Consider the following 17,989-nt stretch of genomic DNA (forward strand, 5'->3'; position numbering starts at 1 on the left):
ATTGATAGAGAGCAAATTTGGCTTCCTCAAGGAATAAAGAAAAAGTAATAAGAGGTTCTCACAACTATCATTCTTTAGGTTGGTTTGCCGCACATTTAAAGAAAAATTTGTCAGGACCCTTTACTTAATTAAGAGGGTGATCAAGTTCATAATAAACAAAAATAAATTAAATATAAGAAGAAAATTATCAGTTGAGAAGGAATATGGTTAAGAACAGAATCTAAGCAAAAGATAATTTTCTCTATAATTTTGCACAATAGTAATTGATGTTTATAGTGTTTTTTATAGTACATCCTAGAAAACTATAATCCTTCAAGAATGATGAAAATATCTTCAATGGTGGCTTAGCATTGTGTATAATTTATTATGTTTTAATTCTTTGAAAATGTAGTGGTTCAATCATCTGAATTGTTTATTTAACGTAAACATCACCATTTTCATTGTTCTGAATAAACAGTATTGTGTTAAGAAATATAATTTTACTACAAAAAGTATTCATGGTGTGAAAATTAAAAAGATGGTCTTTTTTAATTAAGGAAAATATGTCTTTGATAATCTGAAATATACATCTCACATTTTCAAATTCTAGTTGTTTAAAATCAGATTGTTCTATATAGACTGTAACTTCACTTATTTTCTTTGATTTTCTCTTGGATTCTCCATGTAGCTATGGCAAATATTACTTATTTTTTAAAAGATCTGAGACTCCAAAATTATTGGCCTAAATAACCTGACTTTCCCCAATTCCTATTTAGGATGCCTGTAATAGCTATATATGTGTATTATATCTATATATCAATATCTATGTATTTCTGATTTCTACTGGTTTTCCAAGTGGACCACACATTTCAGTTCCCGATTTTCCTGTCACAAGGAGGTTAGTCCTCTAACCAGTTTGCCACTGATCTGGTTACTCAGGAGGAGACACTAAGTATTTTATATTCTACTTTTGTTGCCAATTGTAGGGACCAGGTTGACCCTAAATTTATTCTTTGCATAATATACATGGATATATTAGAAGTCCATTCTTACCCATATTTTAAAGAAAGGTTAACTGGATTTGCTGTTGCAGGCTTGCTCTTTGCAGTGAATGGGAAGCCTCATTTTGGGGACCAAGAACCTGTACAAGGATTTGTGATGAACTTTTCCAATGGGGAAATTATAGACATCTTCAAGCCAGTGCGCAAGGTATTTACACACATTGTCTAGGTTTCAATTTTCATGAGAAGAAGACTAAAATATAAATCTTGGCATTCAATCTGTACTTGAATAGCTTTAGAAAAACTTTTAAGAAGATGTGATAACTTTCTTAGCAAGGTTGATGGGAGTGTTCTATTTTATTTTTTATTTTATATTTTATTTAGAATAAATGTCTTTGTCTATTCCTAGATCAATTTCTTCAGATGCAAATTAGCACGTGTGCAGTTCTAAGGTTCTTAGTAGAACTGCACCTGCATATGATGGCAGGTTTTTAAATTCACTATAGTTAGAATACAAAAAATAAATCAGTCGCTTTCTGGTTTCATCCAAGTAGAGAAAACATCACAACATGTTAAGTGTACTCTTAAAGTTCTCTTAGACCCAACAGACATCTTGTTTGCTTTCTTTATTGCTATGACTGTGCTAAGCAACAAGACTTGAAAATAGCACTTCCTGGAATTTATTCAAGTTCTAAAGATTTGGTTAAGAAACTAAAAGCTACTTTTGGCTTCAAAAGTGTTTTCCCACTGTTTATTCTAACGTGCTTTTTATAAACACAGCAACTGTGTTCAGTGTGCCCATGGCCCTTCTGTCTTCTCAGTGTACTTACTCTGCAGTATGATTGCCAGAGTGATCAGAATGTTCTCTACACTGTATGAATGTGCTTGGAGTATATGAAATTTAGAAAATTCAGCCTGCTAAAATGCTACAAATAAGTGTTATTCTTCAAAACATGTAAAGATTCATTGGTTTTAATTGGATCAAAATACAACTATCATCAGCTACTGAACCAAGTTTATATCTTGACACTTATAATGTTATGTTATTTTTAAGATACCAGATTTGCTAATTTAAAAAACTTTAAAATGCCTCAATATTATATTTTTAATTAAATTTTAATTTTTAATTTTTGTGGTTACACAGTACATGTTTATATTTATGGGGTACATGAGATATTTTAGCACAGGTATGCAATGTGCTAAAATAATAATAATCACATCATAGAAAATTGGGTATCCATCCCCTCAAGCATTTATCCTTTGTGTTACAACAATCCAATTTACTCTTTCAGTTATATTAAAATGTACAATTAAATTATTATTCAGTATAGTCACACTGTTGTGCTATCAAATACTAGGTCTTATTCATTCTGATTTTTTTAAATCTCTATTTTCTTGTTATAACTTACTGGGTGACAGAAGAAAAAACAAACAAACAAAAAACCCTTACAACTCCAGAGCTCTTCAAAAGCATAACTCTGTTAGCTTCTAATTTGAATATTACCAAAAGGAAGACTACCTGATGGAGAGCCACGTCTGTGACCCAATAATTCCCATCTTTATCTATACTCAAGCCATGTGGCAAGTAAAACCTGCAAAATAAAAATATTTGTTGTTTATTTTGATTTTTTTAAATCAGAATGAATAACCATCATCCTGATTAACCACCGCCACCTAACCCCCCGCCACACACACATACACACACACACAAACACACACTCACACACACACACACACACACACTCTCTCTCTCTGTCCCATACCCTTCCCAGGCTCTGGTAACCATCCTTCTGTACCATACATCTATGAGTTCAATTGTTTTGATTTTTAGATCCCACAAATAATTGAGAACATGTCATGTTTGTCTTTCTGTGCCTGGCTTATTTCATCTATAATGATCTCCAGTTCCATCCATGTTATTGCAAATGACAGAGTCTTATTCTTTTTGTGGCTGAATAATACTCCATTGTGTATATGTACCACATTTTCTTTATCCATTTATCTGTTGATGGACTCTTAGGTTGCTTCCAAATCTTGGCTATTGTGAACAGTGCTGCAACAAACGTGGGAGTTTATTTAGCTCTTTGATATACTAATTTCCTTTCTTTTTGGCATATAACCAGCAATGGGATTTCTGGCTTGTATGATAGCTCTACTTTTAGTTTTTTAAGGAACCTCCAAACTGTTCTATATAGTTTTACTAATTTACATTCCCACCAACAGTATACAAGGGTTCCCTTTTCTCCACATCCTCATCAGCATTTGTTATCACCTGACTTTTGGATGAAAGTCATTTTAACTGGTGTTAGATGATATCTTATTGTAGTTTCGATTTGCATTTCTCTGATGATCAATGATGTTGAGCACTTTTCCATATGTCTGTTTGCCATTTGTATGTCTTCTTTTGAAAAATGTCTATTCAAATCTTTTGCCCATTTTTTAAATTGGATTATTAGATTTTTTACTATAGAGTTGTTTGAGCTCCTTATATATTGTGGTTGTTAATCCCTTGTTAGATGGGTAGTTTGCAATTTTTTTTCCTCATTCTGTGGGTTGTCTCTTCACGTGGTTGATTGTTTCCTTTGCTGTGCAGACACTTTTTAACTTGATGCGATCCCATTTGTTGATTTTTGCATTGGTTGCCTGTGCTTGTGGGGTATTACTCAAAACAATTTTGCCCAGACAGATGTCCTGAAGTGTTTCCCCAATGTTTTCTTGTGGTAACTTCACAGTTTGAGGTCTTAGATTTAAGCCTTTAATCCATTTTGACTTGATTTTTGTGTAAAGTGAGAGATAGGGATCAAGTATCATTCGTCTGCATGTGGATATCCAGTTTTCCCACCACCATTTATTGAAAAGACTGTTCTTTCCCCAGTGTATGTTCTTGGAAACTTTGTGAAAAATGAGTTCACTGGGCCAGGCGCGGTGGCTCACGCCTGTAATCCCAGCACTTTGGCAGGCTGAGACGGGCAGATCATGAGGTCAGGAGATCGAGACCATCCTGGCTAACACGGTGAAACCCTGTCTCTATTAAAAATACAAAAAAAATTAGCCAGGCATAGTGGTGGGCGCCTGTAGTCCCAGCTACTCTGGAGGCTGAGGCAGGAGAATGGCGTGAACCCGGGAGGCAGAGCTTGCAGTGAGCGAAGATCGTGCCACTGCACTCCAGCCTGGGGGACAGAGCAAGACTCTGCCTCAAAAAAAAAAAAAAAAATGAGTTCACTGTAGGTGTGTGGATTTTTGTCTGGGTTCTCTATGCGATTCCATTGGTCTATGTGTCTGTTTTTATGGCAGTACCATGCTGTTTTGGTTACATAGCTCTGTAGTATAATTTGAAGTCAGGTAATATGACTCCTCCAGTTTTGTTCTTTTTGCTCAGGTTAGTTTTGACTATTCTGGGTCTTTTGTGATTTCATATAAATTTTAGAATTTTTTTCATTACTGTGAAGAATATTGATATTTGGATAGTGATTGCATTGAATCTGCAGATTGCTTTGGGTATATGGATATTTTAACAATACTGATTCTTCCAATCCATGAACATGGAGTATCTTCCCTTCTTGTGTGTGTCCTCTTCAGTTTTTTTCATCAGCATTTTATAGTTTTCATTGTAGAGATCTTTCACTTCTTTGGTTAATTCCTAGGTACTTAAAAATATTTTTGGCTATTGTAAATAGGATTACATTTTCTATTTCTTTTTCAGATTGTTCACATTGGCATATAAAAATGCTACTGATATTTTATGTTGATTTTGTATCCTGCAACTTTACTGAATTTATCACTTCTAATAGTTTTTTTGGTAGAGTCTTTAGGATTTTCCAAATATCAGATTATATAATCTGCAAACAAGGATAATTTGATTTCTTCCTTTCCAATTTGATGTCCTTTATTTCTTTTTCTTGTCTGATTGCTCTAGCTAAGACTTCCAGTACTATGTTGAGTAACGGTGGTAAAAGTAAAATGCTTCAATGTTTTATTAATAGAAATTAGTCTAATACTGACAGCTAGTCTGGTGTTTATCAAATTTTATTCCAGAGATATGCATTAAATACTTACTCTGTATCAGGCATTATGCTAGGTACTAAGGGTATAAAGGTGAATAAGGGTAAAAGGGTGAAAGAGACACAGCCTTTTGTTCACTGGAGCTTTAAGCCATAGTAACAGGATCTGAATATAACCAAAATGAATCTAAACTAAAGATTCCAGTATACATTCCTTTCTTTAGGTTTCTATTTATATAAACAAATAAGATTTTTCTAGAAATATTTCACCAGAAAAGCAATAGGCAATGAAATCTCAAAGCATAGCAACCCTGCAGAAAGAAATTCATTACACTGATAATAAATATTTTATTCCATAGTGTTTCAGATCCTTATTGATTATCCAGTCTTCATTGTTGTGCCCCTTTGAACTAACTTCCTCATATCTGTTGGTAAAGGAAGTGAGATGCTTAACTTTCAGTTCTTTGCTTTGTATTAGTGGAGTGTTTGCCTTGCTCATTCTTTTAATGATAATGTACTGTGTCAACCAGGATATTAACTTTTAATTTAAATATGCATCTAGAAATAAAAACTAAGTGCTAAGCAAGAGGCTAAATGAGCCTTAACGTCATAAAAATCTGAAGAGTTCTCAATTAAAATTTCCAAAGCATTGTGCTTTCATCAGATGTTAGGCAAAGAATGAGTCACAATATGTGGGTCAATTCAGCAAACTTGAAAAGAGTCTCACTCCAAGATGAAGTTTGCTTTTCCTTTCAGTAAACAAGACTTGATATTACACCAAAACATATAAATATATTCTGTGTTGACACAGTAAACTGAAATCAGTTTATAAATCTCTCAGAATTTTCATTAAATAGATTATTATCACAAAGATTAATTTTGGGTGAAGGAAATAATATGGTCTGTTGACTCCTGTGTAAAAAGAGATTCCTCTTCACGATGAAGGTCAAGTTTTACATAAGGGGGTTGTGCTTCTGTTTGTGCATACCCACTCCTTATCTCCTCTTACATTTCAGTTCTCCATCTTCTACTATTACATTCTTTAGAGATGTTTCCATCTGAATGTAGGGACTCTGTTTTTATGTCTGTGCAGGGAAGCTTAGACAGTAGGACAATAAAGAAAATGGTTCTATCAAATGCTATCAAAAAGCTGTGAGAGAAAAATACACATTGTCATTCCCCAAGTCATTCCCCCTGTAATCAAAGGACAGACTTGTGGTCCCTCATTATCTGCTTTTATACACACCCTTCGGACAGGCATATTTTTTGTCGTCTTCTGTGTGGCAGCTCATATGGAAAAGAAAGAGAATGATCCCCATCCTTCCATACCAAAAGAAAAAAAAGTGAGCCCAGATTTATGTCATTTTTCCAACCTTCACAGTGATGATTAAAATGACAATACTTGAGCTGAAAAGTTCACTTAAGTTAAATTACTTGTTCAAGCTACATGGAGTAGCATATGTGGATCTCAAACCTAGGTCTTTCTGACTTTGAAATGTGCTGCTTAACCTTTTCATTCCTGAAGTACACATTGGTATGCCAAGGGCTATATTAAGCCACAACATAAACATTGTGCAACTTAGAAGAACTGTTTTACTTAATATTAAGTACATTTAAACTTACTATGTTGAAGCAAACATTGTTATGCTATGGAGTAGAACACGAATTTCCTTACGAGTTTTTAAAATAAAATACAAGATTTTGAAGGCAGTTTGCTCCAGGCTTTGTCACCAGATGCCTGGTGAAGATATTATCATGCTTCTGTCATGTTGATTTTATTTTGCTGGGGGTACCTCAAAAGAAGAGTCTGCAAAGGCTAGATTAGAAGATCTTTATGTCTGTGTAGCTCTAAAAATACTAAAGCTTGGTCCTAAAATTTAACCACATAATTTTGTTTCAAATGACACAAAGCACTAGAACAGTTCATTGAAAAGATTACAACTGAGTTCTTCTGACTGCAAGAAGACATAATGAGTCTTCATAATGAGCAAGAAGACAGAGTCCCATCTACCACGCCTCCCCCTGAGTTCCTATAGTGGCCCCAAAGTACTGTATTTCTAGCAGAACCCTTGGCTTCATGGATCAGTGGGACCAAGGTTCTGCTATAAATACAGATTAGTGGCTCTCTCACTTGAGAGCCACTAATAAAGGTTTATTATTGTTGTTGCCTTGAATTTATGACATATTGTGATTTATTTAAAGCAAAGTTCTTAGCCAGTGAATAGTTTACACATTCCCTCCTCACCTTTATTCCCCCATCATTATATTTTTCCTATCAGAAAATATGAAGTATTCTACAACCATATGTTTTACAAAGAAATTTCTAAGAACATATTACGGTATAGAACAGGAGTGGCCTATCATTTGGTAGTCTTTTGCCATCCATTAACTGAACCTCCCAAAAAAGATGAACATTTAATGACAAGCCCGCAGGATTTCAGCAAGGCAGCATTTTGATTTCTGGCTCTGTGTTTTCCTCTACATATTTGTCACAGCTTATTTGAAAGTATGAAAAAAAATGAGCCTCCTTGGCATGGCTATCTCATTTTTCTTTTCAGTGTGATAAACTTGATGATTTCTAAAGTACGATAGTATCTCCAGAGCATGTATTCTTCTGCCCCGCCTAAACTGAGCTAGGAACAGTAGTTTGTCTCATTAGTACCCTTTGAAATCAGCACATCAGGGTTAGGCAGATGCTGGCTGATAAGCCCATGGTCTGGATACTCACTAGTCATATTTTTGATAACTGTGTATCCAGGCAGGCCTTCTGGCCTTAAAGGTGAAAGATGTTATCTATATCCTGCCAACTGCCAGACCCAGGGCACCTTTGGAGGCTTCCAGAGACAATGGAAATGTCAGCAGCACAATAATTTAAGGCTTCTCTTCCAAGAACTAGTTTGGTGATCCCCAAAAGAAAGTCACAAAAGGATCTCCCCTGTCTCTTGTGTCCTCATAATGGAGATGACAATGATTTGAAATAGAGAAAGATATATTAAAATACAGAGCATCTGAAGTAGGGACAAAAGCCCAGGAAGTACTTGGAGGTAACACTCAATTTCTTTCCTTTGCTGACTGAAAACATCACAAACATAAGACTTCAAGAGTATAAAACCCCACATTGCTACGTATCTCTTAGTGTACATTTCAAAAAATTAAATGTCCCAAATCTCTGAAATGATTTTTCTTATCAATAATATACAAATAGTTTTTAAGGTAGCACATGATAGCTTGATGGGAATAATAAAAATTAATACCTAGACTTTTTTACTTGTACAAATTTAAAAAAGCAAATTTGATAGTTATTAAAAGGTAGAAGAAACATGTAGGCAAAAACCAATATAAATAACTAGACAGATAATGCAACACCAAGTAAACAGTATTGTAAAAAATAATATACCTGTAAATTTTCACACTTAAAAGAATTGAAAGTCAGTAGTGGGGGTTCCTTAGCATTTCCCAATGTTTAGAATTATGCCTGGAAGAGTCAGTACCCAATGAATGAATGAATGAATGACTCCCTTCAGCCTAGGGTTGCTTCAATAGGAAATATTTTGCTTTGGTTTGAGTAATATGTTTTGTTGTTTTGTTGTGGGCTTTGCTTTGTTTTTCTGTCTTTTCATGAAGGATTCAAGTAAAGGCTCACCACTCTAATGTGTAGCTTCTTATTTTGGCAGCACTTTGATATGCCTCATGATATTGTTGCATCTGAAGATGGGACTGTGTACATTGGAGATGCTCATACCAACACCGTGTGGAAGTTCACCTTGACTGAGAGTATGGTTTTCACAGTATTATTGTTCACATTTTCCCTCAGTTTGATTGCTTAAAAGCATATGAAACAAAAACATTTGCATTTCCTTATCTTTTTACTGATGAGAGTAGGAATCAAAGTATAAAGCAGTTGTTAAAAGACCTATTTGGTGTCCATTAAGTGGAAAGAAACGATTTTTTTGCTGGCACTTATCCCCTTGTTTCCACAGGAAATTCTTGATGCCTGAAGTACTGTCTGTTACATTAAAAGTCAACATTAATTCCAGCTTAGTTCCAGAAGGAGAGAGGGGGCTTTGGCAAAGCAGAGGGGCTGACTTCTTTCCATAAAGCCTCATTCCCCATATGGCCCTTTAGCTCTCAGTAGCTGCTGAGCATCTAGAGATACCAGCATCCGTTTGAGACATATTATCCCAAATATGAATATTTGGAAATATTCAAAGAAGAAGCACTTTGAATTTTCTGCTTGGACTTCAGCTTTCCCAAATAACTGAATTGCTATATTTTCATGTAACTCAAAATGTTGTCTAAGTATAGATTTGCTCCATCAGGATCCTGCCAACTAGTTTTGGAGTTTTCTAATTGGAATTTGGACATCATTTTCATCTCTAAAAAGCAGACTAACTTTTAACCCCTAATATGCTAAAACAAATAAATTTTTTAAATTGAAGTGTACCAAATGCTTGATAGGACACAAACAACTTCAATGTCCAGAAATACTTTTAAAACATGGCAGGGCCCAAATAGCAGAAGGTGAGAGTAAGGAAAATAATTGGGGATGATAAATTTGAGGTATCAGGAGCTTCAACAGGTAGTTTTAGATAAAGGACAAAAAAACAATATGTAAACTTGATGAAGAAAAATATTAATTATAAAAGGAAAAACATAAATTATAAAAAGGCAAGAAAACAAATTACAGCAATGGAAAGTAAAATCAGGAGTCCAAACACATAATCAGATACGATATAGGGCTTGGATCTCAATTAATTTGGTAACTTTTGTAGTCAGAACTATCCTTTGGATAACGTTTGCAGTTGTGTAAAAAGAACCAAGTTAGGGTTGAGTGAGCAGAGATGCCCATGGACTATGCCACTCCAGCAGTAGCTTCACATTTCCCTTGCAAATGTGGCTCTCTCACCACCCGAATTGTCAAAGAGGATCCAGAAGGCAGGGTCAGACAATAAGGCAAAGATAGATGGATAACCCCCAACTGCATGACTAAAGTGTGGATTTTCAGAACAAAAACAAATGCAAAAATACTTTGAAAGATGGAGAAGACTTCAGAAGAAAATCTAACCAATATCTTAATTTTATGGATAGGAACATGATTCCTGAACTCATTAATATTTCAATCTGAGGCCCTGTATACCGTGATCCCCAGCCTTTTTGGCATTAAGGGACCAGTTTCATGGAAGACAATTTTTCCACAGACCATGGGCAGAGGGAATGGTTTCAGGATAAAACTATTCCACAAGGAGCACGCAACCTAGATCCCTTGCATGCGCAGTTCACAAAAGGGTTCAGGCTCCTATGAGAATCTAATGACACCACTGATCTGACAGGAGGCAGAGCTCAGGTGGTTACACTCACCTGCCACTCACCTCCTGCTGTGCGTTCCAGTTCCTAACAGGCCATGGCCCGGGATTTGGGGACCCCTGCTTTATACCACCCTAGTGGTTTGAAACTCAGAAGATGCATGTCAGATTTACCTACGGGGGGGGACTGTTACAATACACATGGCCAGTCCCCACTCAAGATCTACAGAAAGAAGAGGAATAATATTATGTGTATTTTAGAAAGTCCTCCCAAGTGACTTTGGTACATCTCCTGATGGAAAAGCACAGCGATATGGCATTCAGCTTCAAAATAGAGAAGCCCTCTGCATAGCGCAGAGTGCAGTAAATCTGGAAAACAGTATATCTGGAACAGTAAGACTGCCACTGAACACTAAATCGGTGTCTCATTTATTTGCATCCTTGTAGTTAACTGGTCAAATCCATTAACATCAACTAGAAGACTGCTAACCCAACATGTCAGAACTAGTAATCAGTCTAAGATATTGTCCACATGAAGGCAGATCTGCTTGGTCTTTCAGAAATAATACAATATTATGAACTCTACAAGAAATAACTCATTGTAAATATGAAGTCCTTAGAAATATTTTAGCTTTCCCTAGGAGATTTTATCCAGGATTCATGGACCACCTAATTAGTGGTTTGTATTGAACTCTTTCCTAATATAATAATGCATTTGATGAATTAAGGAAATATTTTCTACTGAGTAAAATTAATATCAAAGTTAAATTTTCAAATGTTCTTTTTGGAGATTCTGACTTTTCTCTCTCCTTGTTGTGTTGTTACAGAATTGGAACATCGATCAGTTAAAAAGGCTGGCATTGAGGTCCAGGAAATCAAAGGTTGGTCAGATTCCTCTTATTACTATAAAACCAAAGTCTGGCTGTGTTGAATTCTTTTATGGCCCTTGATTGCAACTTAAAAAATTACCAGGCTAAAAATATAATCTGGTAAATTATCAGTGACTTCTGCTATGTACTGAGCCTTTAAACCTGTATGTTGCCACTTCCCTTTTTTTTTGATAAATGGAGCAGTCATAATGAGCTCAAATTACTGATTTCAAGTGATAGAAAGTGATTGAGGATACAAAAACTTTGTAACTAGTGAGCCAGAGATATTCCGAGAAGAAAAAAAGTCAGCCACTTTGGGGAGTACATTAACCCCAGGCAAGTAAAAAAATATGATTTGGCATATTGGAAAAACCTTTTCTTAATAGGCCCTAATATAAAGGAGTGAAAAATATCTTTGGTGGGTCAGTGCTATAATGGTATGGAAAGATTAGCTGTTTCTTTAGCTTCTATCGTAGTACCATTCAGCTTCCACGATTTACTGAGGGCCTTTTGTGTGTAAAGCACTATAGCAGGTCTAAGGGAAATGAGACTGCACCTGACCTTATAGCCTTATAAGGAGAGAGGGGGAAATTTACATACATAAACACATATACAAATAAGTATATCACTGGTATATAATATCAGGACTAAGGAAATGGGATTTAGCTATTGGTAAGCAACCACTGGGTTCATATGGAGTCCCTGTCAACTTATTTTGTCTCTTTCCTAGGATCAGTTTATGTTTGTACATTCTAGCATCTGCAGGGTTTTGACATGTCATTTCCAGTTAAGGACTCGCTATGAGTTGCTCATGTTACCTAATATTTAAGTAGCAAGGGGATTCCATTATTAGTTGCTTTACAAATGATTCACCTAGACATTCAGACACAAACCTAGGCTTACTTGTTTTCTTTTCTCATCAAAGCAGCTGGAAAAGAAATGAAAAGCAGCAACAGCAAGGGGGAGTTTAAGGATTTTATGCAGACAGATAAGAAAATATAGCCAGCTCAAGGGGTAATAAAATATTATAAAATAAATAGCAATTGTTTGGCATTTGTAGAGATCCAAGTGACACTACTAAGTGGCATTCATATCACACTCATATACTAAAGAAGGTTCCTGTCCCCCTAGTTTTATGTCTTTGCTATATATATAATTATTGGTAAGTTCTGTTTGCCCTGGAATAAAGACGTTGGGAAAGATCATGTTGTTAATAGTAGCTATCACTTACAGAGCAGAAACAATGGGCTATACAGAAATTATTACATTTAATCCTTATGCCAACCATGTAATAACTGCTATTATCCCCATTTTACATATGAGGAAATTGAGGATCAGAATTCCTACTAAGATAGTACATTTTAGAGTCAAGCTTTAAACCAAAATCTATTTGGTACCAAAGCCTGCACTCTTAACCACTATTGCTATACTGCTGAGGAGAGACTGATACCACCAATTCATTCACTATAAATTCTCCCAAGAACTGCAGGTTGGGAATGGTTATAGTTTACTCTGAAACCTCTAGAATTTTAAAATAGTCTCAACTCATTTCTGTTTAAATAGATCTCACCAAAAAATTCTAGGTGGTACTGGTTGGCCTGGTGAAAACAGCTTAGCCATACTGACCTCATCTTAGCCGGTCAATGATGGATGAATAATGCTGTCATATAGGCCATTTCCTCTCTCCTGTGTGCACACCACTGAGTCCAATTGGTCAGAAACCTTCCGACTTTGTGGAAGTGGTTTGTGGTCAAACCCAGCAGTTCAAACAGTAAATTTTATTGAAATGTCTTGCCTTGACAGTCCAGTTTTAATAGTTAACCCAAACTCAAATGAAGTTGTCTCTTCTTCCTTGAACCCATATGGCTCTCATTAAACCTTTAAGATTATGTTCTTATTACAAAGGGAATGTAAATCATGCTGGATCTCTAGATCTTATGTTTTATCAATATCTTGAAACTTAATTCAAACCACCCTTTATAAAAGAGAAGGGAAAACACAATTTCAGACTTAATAGCCTTGTAGTTACATGTTAATTTTTAATCCCCAAATTTGAGTTGCCTTTGATAACACTTATCCCTACTATGAATGGTCATATAACTAATTATTATTAAAAAGGTTTCAGAACCAGTGTTCTAAGGAAGTTGTAAGGATAAGATAATTTCAGATGATAAAAAAAAACTGATGAAAAGGATTAAACTTTCTAATAAAGTTACTAGAGATAAAACAGGTATAGCAATATCTCACCAAAGCATAGCTCTCACCCCCAAGCCCACCCCCCCAAATAAAAGATGATAATGGCCAATCACTTTCAATAAAACTTTTAAAAAATAAAAAAACCTCTTTAGTGCAGTTAGCTTTTTAGGCCTTATGGTAAGCAACACATTGTAAGGAAACACATTAAAAAAAAAAAGAATGATCTCATTGGTGATATATGCACTTTTCATGTCCCGTAACCAGTTACTTCCTAGTATGCCATTTGCCTTCAGCCTTCAGTTCTGTCTGTGATGAACTGGGATACAATTGCTGTATTAAGAATGTCCTTCCCTTCCTGTCCAAGTTATTCCAATTCCAAGTGGTCTCTAGACTTCTCTTCTGTTAGGGGGAGACAGATTTGTACATACATGTATATGTGCACTCACACAGGAATGTAGCTAACCTCCATTTCTAAACGCATTGCTTTAAAGAAGAAGAAAAACTGTCATACATCAGCTTTTAGAAAATTTGTTTATTTCCAAATATCTATAGAGATGCTACAAGGGCTTGCACTCTTATAAGATTTTAAGGCATGTTCATTCTACCCAGAATACACCTGGCATTTTATATGACAAAAGAATGGTCATTCTAGGTGCCTCCTGTTTTCCAGAAACCTAGTGTTCTGGCTAATCTTAGAGCTTCTTCACTCTTCATTCATCATAGATGCTCCAAATTACTGGGATTTTTAATAAAAGAATTTAGGATAAAGAGTGAAAGTGGCAGAATTTGGATTATTCTTCAGGCTTTCAGTGGAATTCTTAGACTCTTAAGTTATAACTATTGTTTTAGGCATTTTACCCCACATACAAATGCTCTTGTGAAGAGTAGCAATATTGTTTATTTTCTTTAGAATGGAACATTTTAAATTTTTAGCCTCCTTTTTAAAAATGTAGAGCATCTTTTAAATCTTAAATATATTTCAGCCAGTTCCAAAAGTTGGACTGTTTAAGTATTTTTAGTAGATAACACTCAAAATATCAGAAGTGATGTGAAAATCAAGAATTTCTAAAGTGCTGTGTATGTATTATATCTTAGTAAGTTCATTGCCTCATTCTCATTACTTTCTGTGAATGCTAAACTGATTCTTTTAGTCTTTCACCTGTATCATCCACAGTTCCTTCCATTTAATGTTGCCCAATTCTGGTTCTGCCTTATCCATGAAACTAGATATGACCTAGTATACCCATTGTATATTAGGTGCATATAAACTTACTAAATGACAGGCAGTAACTACTCTGGTAATACCCACCTTCAAACAAGAACAAATCCTTCTTCCAAAAGAAACAAGTTCTTAAATGCCAACCTACATCTTTGGCCTGTGTTTTTTACTCCCATGATCTATTTATTGCAATTTTCTTATTTAAATATAGAATAAGCTTAAATATAGAGCAATTTTGTATATCTTTCCTATAGCAACCAAAAAAAAAAAAAAGACAAATGAGTGGTCAGAAAGAATAGAAATCACATCTGTATTCCCCTCAGAAACTAGACATAGAAAAGTTATATTTGAACCATTTCTAGGTCTATGAACCACTCCTTTCCTTCCCTCCCTTTCAAGTTTCAAGAGTCACTTGAGTGGACAAAAGAAAACAAAGGATGGTCTCCCTTTAGCCATAGTACAGGGAAGGAAAGGAGGACTATGAGGTCATCTACAAAATGGTGATGATAATAATAGTGCCTACTCATGAGCTTGGTGTGATGATTAAAGGAAACGATGCCTGACAATGGTGTAAGTACTCAATAGATATCACTGAGACTGTCAAAGAGGCTGGCTCAGAACGTTGAAGCAAAGAGTTGGAACCTACCATCTGTTTGTATTATAAATTATGTTGACAGCATCTTAAATGATTTGGGAAACATTTATTTGGAGGAGTATCCAGTAAACTACTAAGCTGAATCTATACCTACTAAACATTAACCAAAGATTTTCCTGATTGTGTTATCCCTACCATTTTGTCAAAATCTTCTTGAGGCTTTACAATGCATTCTGTATCGTAGGGCAGAAGGGCATTCCAAGAAGTCGAAATTTCAGAAATGTATGACCTGTGAGTCTTCCTGCAAATGTGGTTGTAACTTTTAGTCTGGGCAAATTCTTACTAGTCTTTGTACACTAGAGTTTCTATACAAATACACATATGTGCTTCTTGTAGGGCAAGGATGTCTCAAGGCTCAACCTCATTTTCATATCATTAGTTATTAAGATCACTGCAGCAGCTTATATAGTTTCATTGCATCAATTTCCCAAACAGTACTTTAGGCTTGATACCTACCCAGTACCTGCCAATGTTACAGAATAGTTTTAGTTATTATAATAGTTGTTCTTTTCATCAGTAACAAAAGGATATACAGTTCATCTGTCTGTACTCACATTTTGCTGAAAACAATATAAAAGAGCCTGAAAAGCACATAGTTCCTTTTTTCTTTTGTAATCCTAGCATTAATGTGTGCAGCTGTCCATGTGAAATACCAAAAATTAATTGAACATGAAAAATATTTTTAAACTAAAGATACAAGGAAACAAACACTTATTATATACATTTTTTATGACAGACATTTACACCCAACAGTTTTATGAAGGAGGTCCTATTATTACAGTTTTATAGATGAAGTTACTGTGGCCCAGATAATTTAAGTAACTTGCCCAAAGTTATACGGCTAGTATATAGGAGAATTGGGATTTGTACCCAGGTTTGTTTGATTCCAGTATGCACACCAGTTCTTTCCCCTACACAGTACTGTCTTATTAATTTTACCTTTGGAAAAATACAAAAGGATATATATTCTGTGGAATTATAGCTAAAGAGCATATTAAAAGTAGAACAAAAGAAAACTAATTTGAAGGTGAAAAACCATTCAGTGGAAATAACTAATCACAATGCCTGCTGCCAGTTTGGTAGATTCAGGTATTAAAACATGAAACCCCTGTACACTGGAGTCAACAAGTTCTTTGTGAACAGTTATTGATTTGACTGGGTAGGGGTGGGTAAGGGGGTTTTGAAATCTTTGAGTCAGTTGAATATTGTGAACTCTTCTTTCCCTGAAGAAGCCGAGGCAGTTGTTGAAACCAAAATGGAGAACAAACCCACCTCCTCAGAATTGCAGAAGATGCAAGAGAAACAGAAACTGATCAAAGAGCCAGGCTCGGGAGTGCCTGTTGTTCTCATTACAACCCTTCTGGTTATTCCGGTGGTTGTCCTGCTGGCCATTGCCATATTTATTCGGTGGAAAAAATCAAGGGCCTTTGGAGGCAAGTAAAATGAGCCCCGTGAACTTGGAACCTGCCTTTGAAAGAGTGTTTGGCCTAATTATCCTCAGGAGTTTGATTGGGATTTTTTTCACTGTATTTGTTTTTTTGTTTTTAATGCTCTCTACCATTTTTGACATTATTGTCTATGTTCCAAATATTGCCCCTAGTTAATATCACAGTACAAAATAGTATCTGGAGACTCTGAAATTTGGATAGTTAGATTAAAATATAACCTTTAATACTATCTTTTAGCAATTGGCTTAAGTCCAATTAATGAGTCCATACGAAATTGTAGGTAGTAGAGTCAGTATAAATTAGCTGAAGGATCAGAGGAGGAGATACCTGCTGTTAGGAAGAGGCCCAGTCCTCAAAGTACCTGGGTCAGTTTTTCAGGTTGTGTTTTTCTCCCATTAGGCTCCTAGCTACATGACCATGGGCAAGTTACTTAATCTCTCCAGACCAGTTTTCTCATAAAAAAGTGGGGATAAAATAGTTACCTTACAAGGTTGTACAAAGATGAAATAATGTACATAAGCATTTATCAGGATACCTGGAACCTAGGAAGTACTCAATACCACCAATGGTTATGATGAATAATCATTGGTAATAAAGTAACAAAAGGCATAAGAAGTTATAAAAAACACTTGTCTTAAACCTTAGTTTTCAAGAAAAATTAATTCTATAACAAACCATTTGATAGTTTTTGAATAGTCATAATTTAGCTCATCAGCCTTCCATAACTGAACAAGGCAGAGTCCAATACCAGAGTTAGTATTTTATGAAATCATTATCACAATATAGGATCCAAGAGCTGAGTTTATTTTAGGACATCTAAATAAATAAACAACCCAATTCATGTTTCTTACCGCTCAGTAGCAGTCCCTTGGCTGGGTCCCCAGGTCCTAGAGCAAGTCTATAGCTGTGTGTGGGAAGAAATCCATGGATCAGGGAGAGGGGGAGCATTTGATCAAGAAACAGCATCTGATCCTATTTCAGGTCAAGGCAGCCATGGCAGGGATTCAGTGCCCTTGGCAAAGCCCTGACACAGAAAAAGGCATGGAAACAGAAAACAGAAAATTCAGTTTAATATGTTGTAAAAGGGAATTTTTATTAGACTTTATTTTGCTTTTCATGTGCCATCAATAAATCTCTATAAAAATATAGTTAACTCTTCCCAAAAAGGATTTCTATTAAGTCCATGTTACAGATCTGGAACTGTCATAAGTAGGGGCAAAGAGAAATAAACATAGTCATTGTCTTCATGGTGTTATATAGATGCTTCAAAAGAGCAAGAATCCATATCTTGAGTACTGATATGTCCCCAGCACAAATA

At 35.4% G+C, this 17,989-nt stretch overlaps 1 protein-coding gene across 57 annotated transcripts in view; it reads left to right on the plus strand.

The window, feature by feature from the left end:
• Positions 1–17,989, plus strand: part of PAM (peptidylglycine alpha-amidating monooxygenase) — a 276,323-nt gene that overhangs the window by 253,896 nt on the left and 4,438 nt on the right. For 18 of the 57 annotated variants that reach the window (XM_024446066.2, NM_001319943.1, XM_024446069.2 and 15 more), the window contains 4 exons: positions 1,073–1,188; positions 8,656–8,755; positions 11,112–11,165; positions 16,453–16,656. In XM_024446066.2, the coding sequence (XP_024301834.1) occupies positions 1,073–1,188; positions 8,656–8,755; positions 11,112–11,165; positions 16,453–16,656 (474 nt within the window). Of the gene's footprint in view, positions 1–1,072; positions 1,189–8,655; positions 8,756–11,111; positions 11,166–16,452; positions 16,657–17,989 lie in introns of those variants that run through there. The other 39 variants (XM_017009502.3, XM_024446072.2, XM_024446075.2 and 36 more) reach the window with 5 other exon arrangements.

The sequence above is a fragment of the Homo sapiens genome, chromosome 5, assembly GCF_000001405.40.
Source record: "Homo sapiens chromosome 5, GRCh38.p14 Primary Assembly".
Classification (NCBI taxonomy): domain Eukaryota; kingdom Metazoa; phylum Chordata; class Mammalia; order Primates; family Hominidae; genus Homo; species Homo sapiens.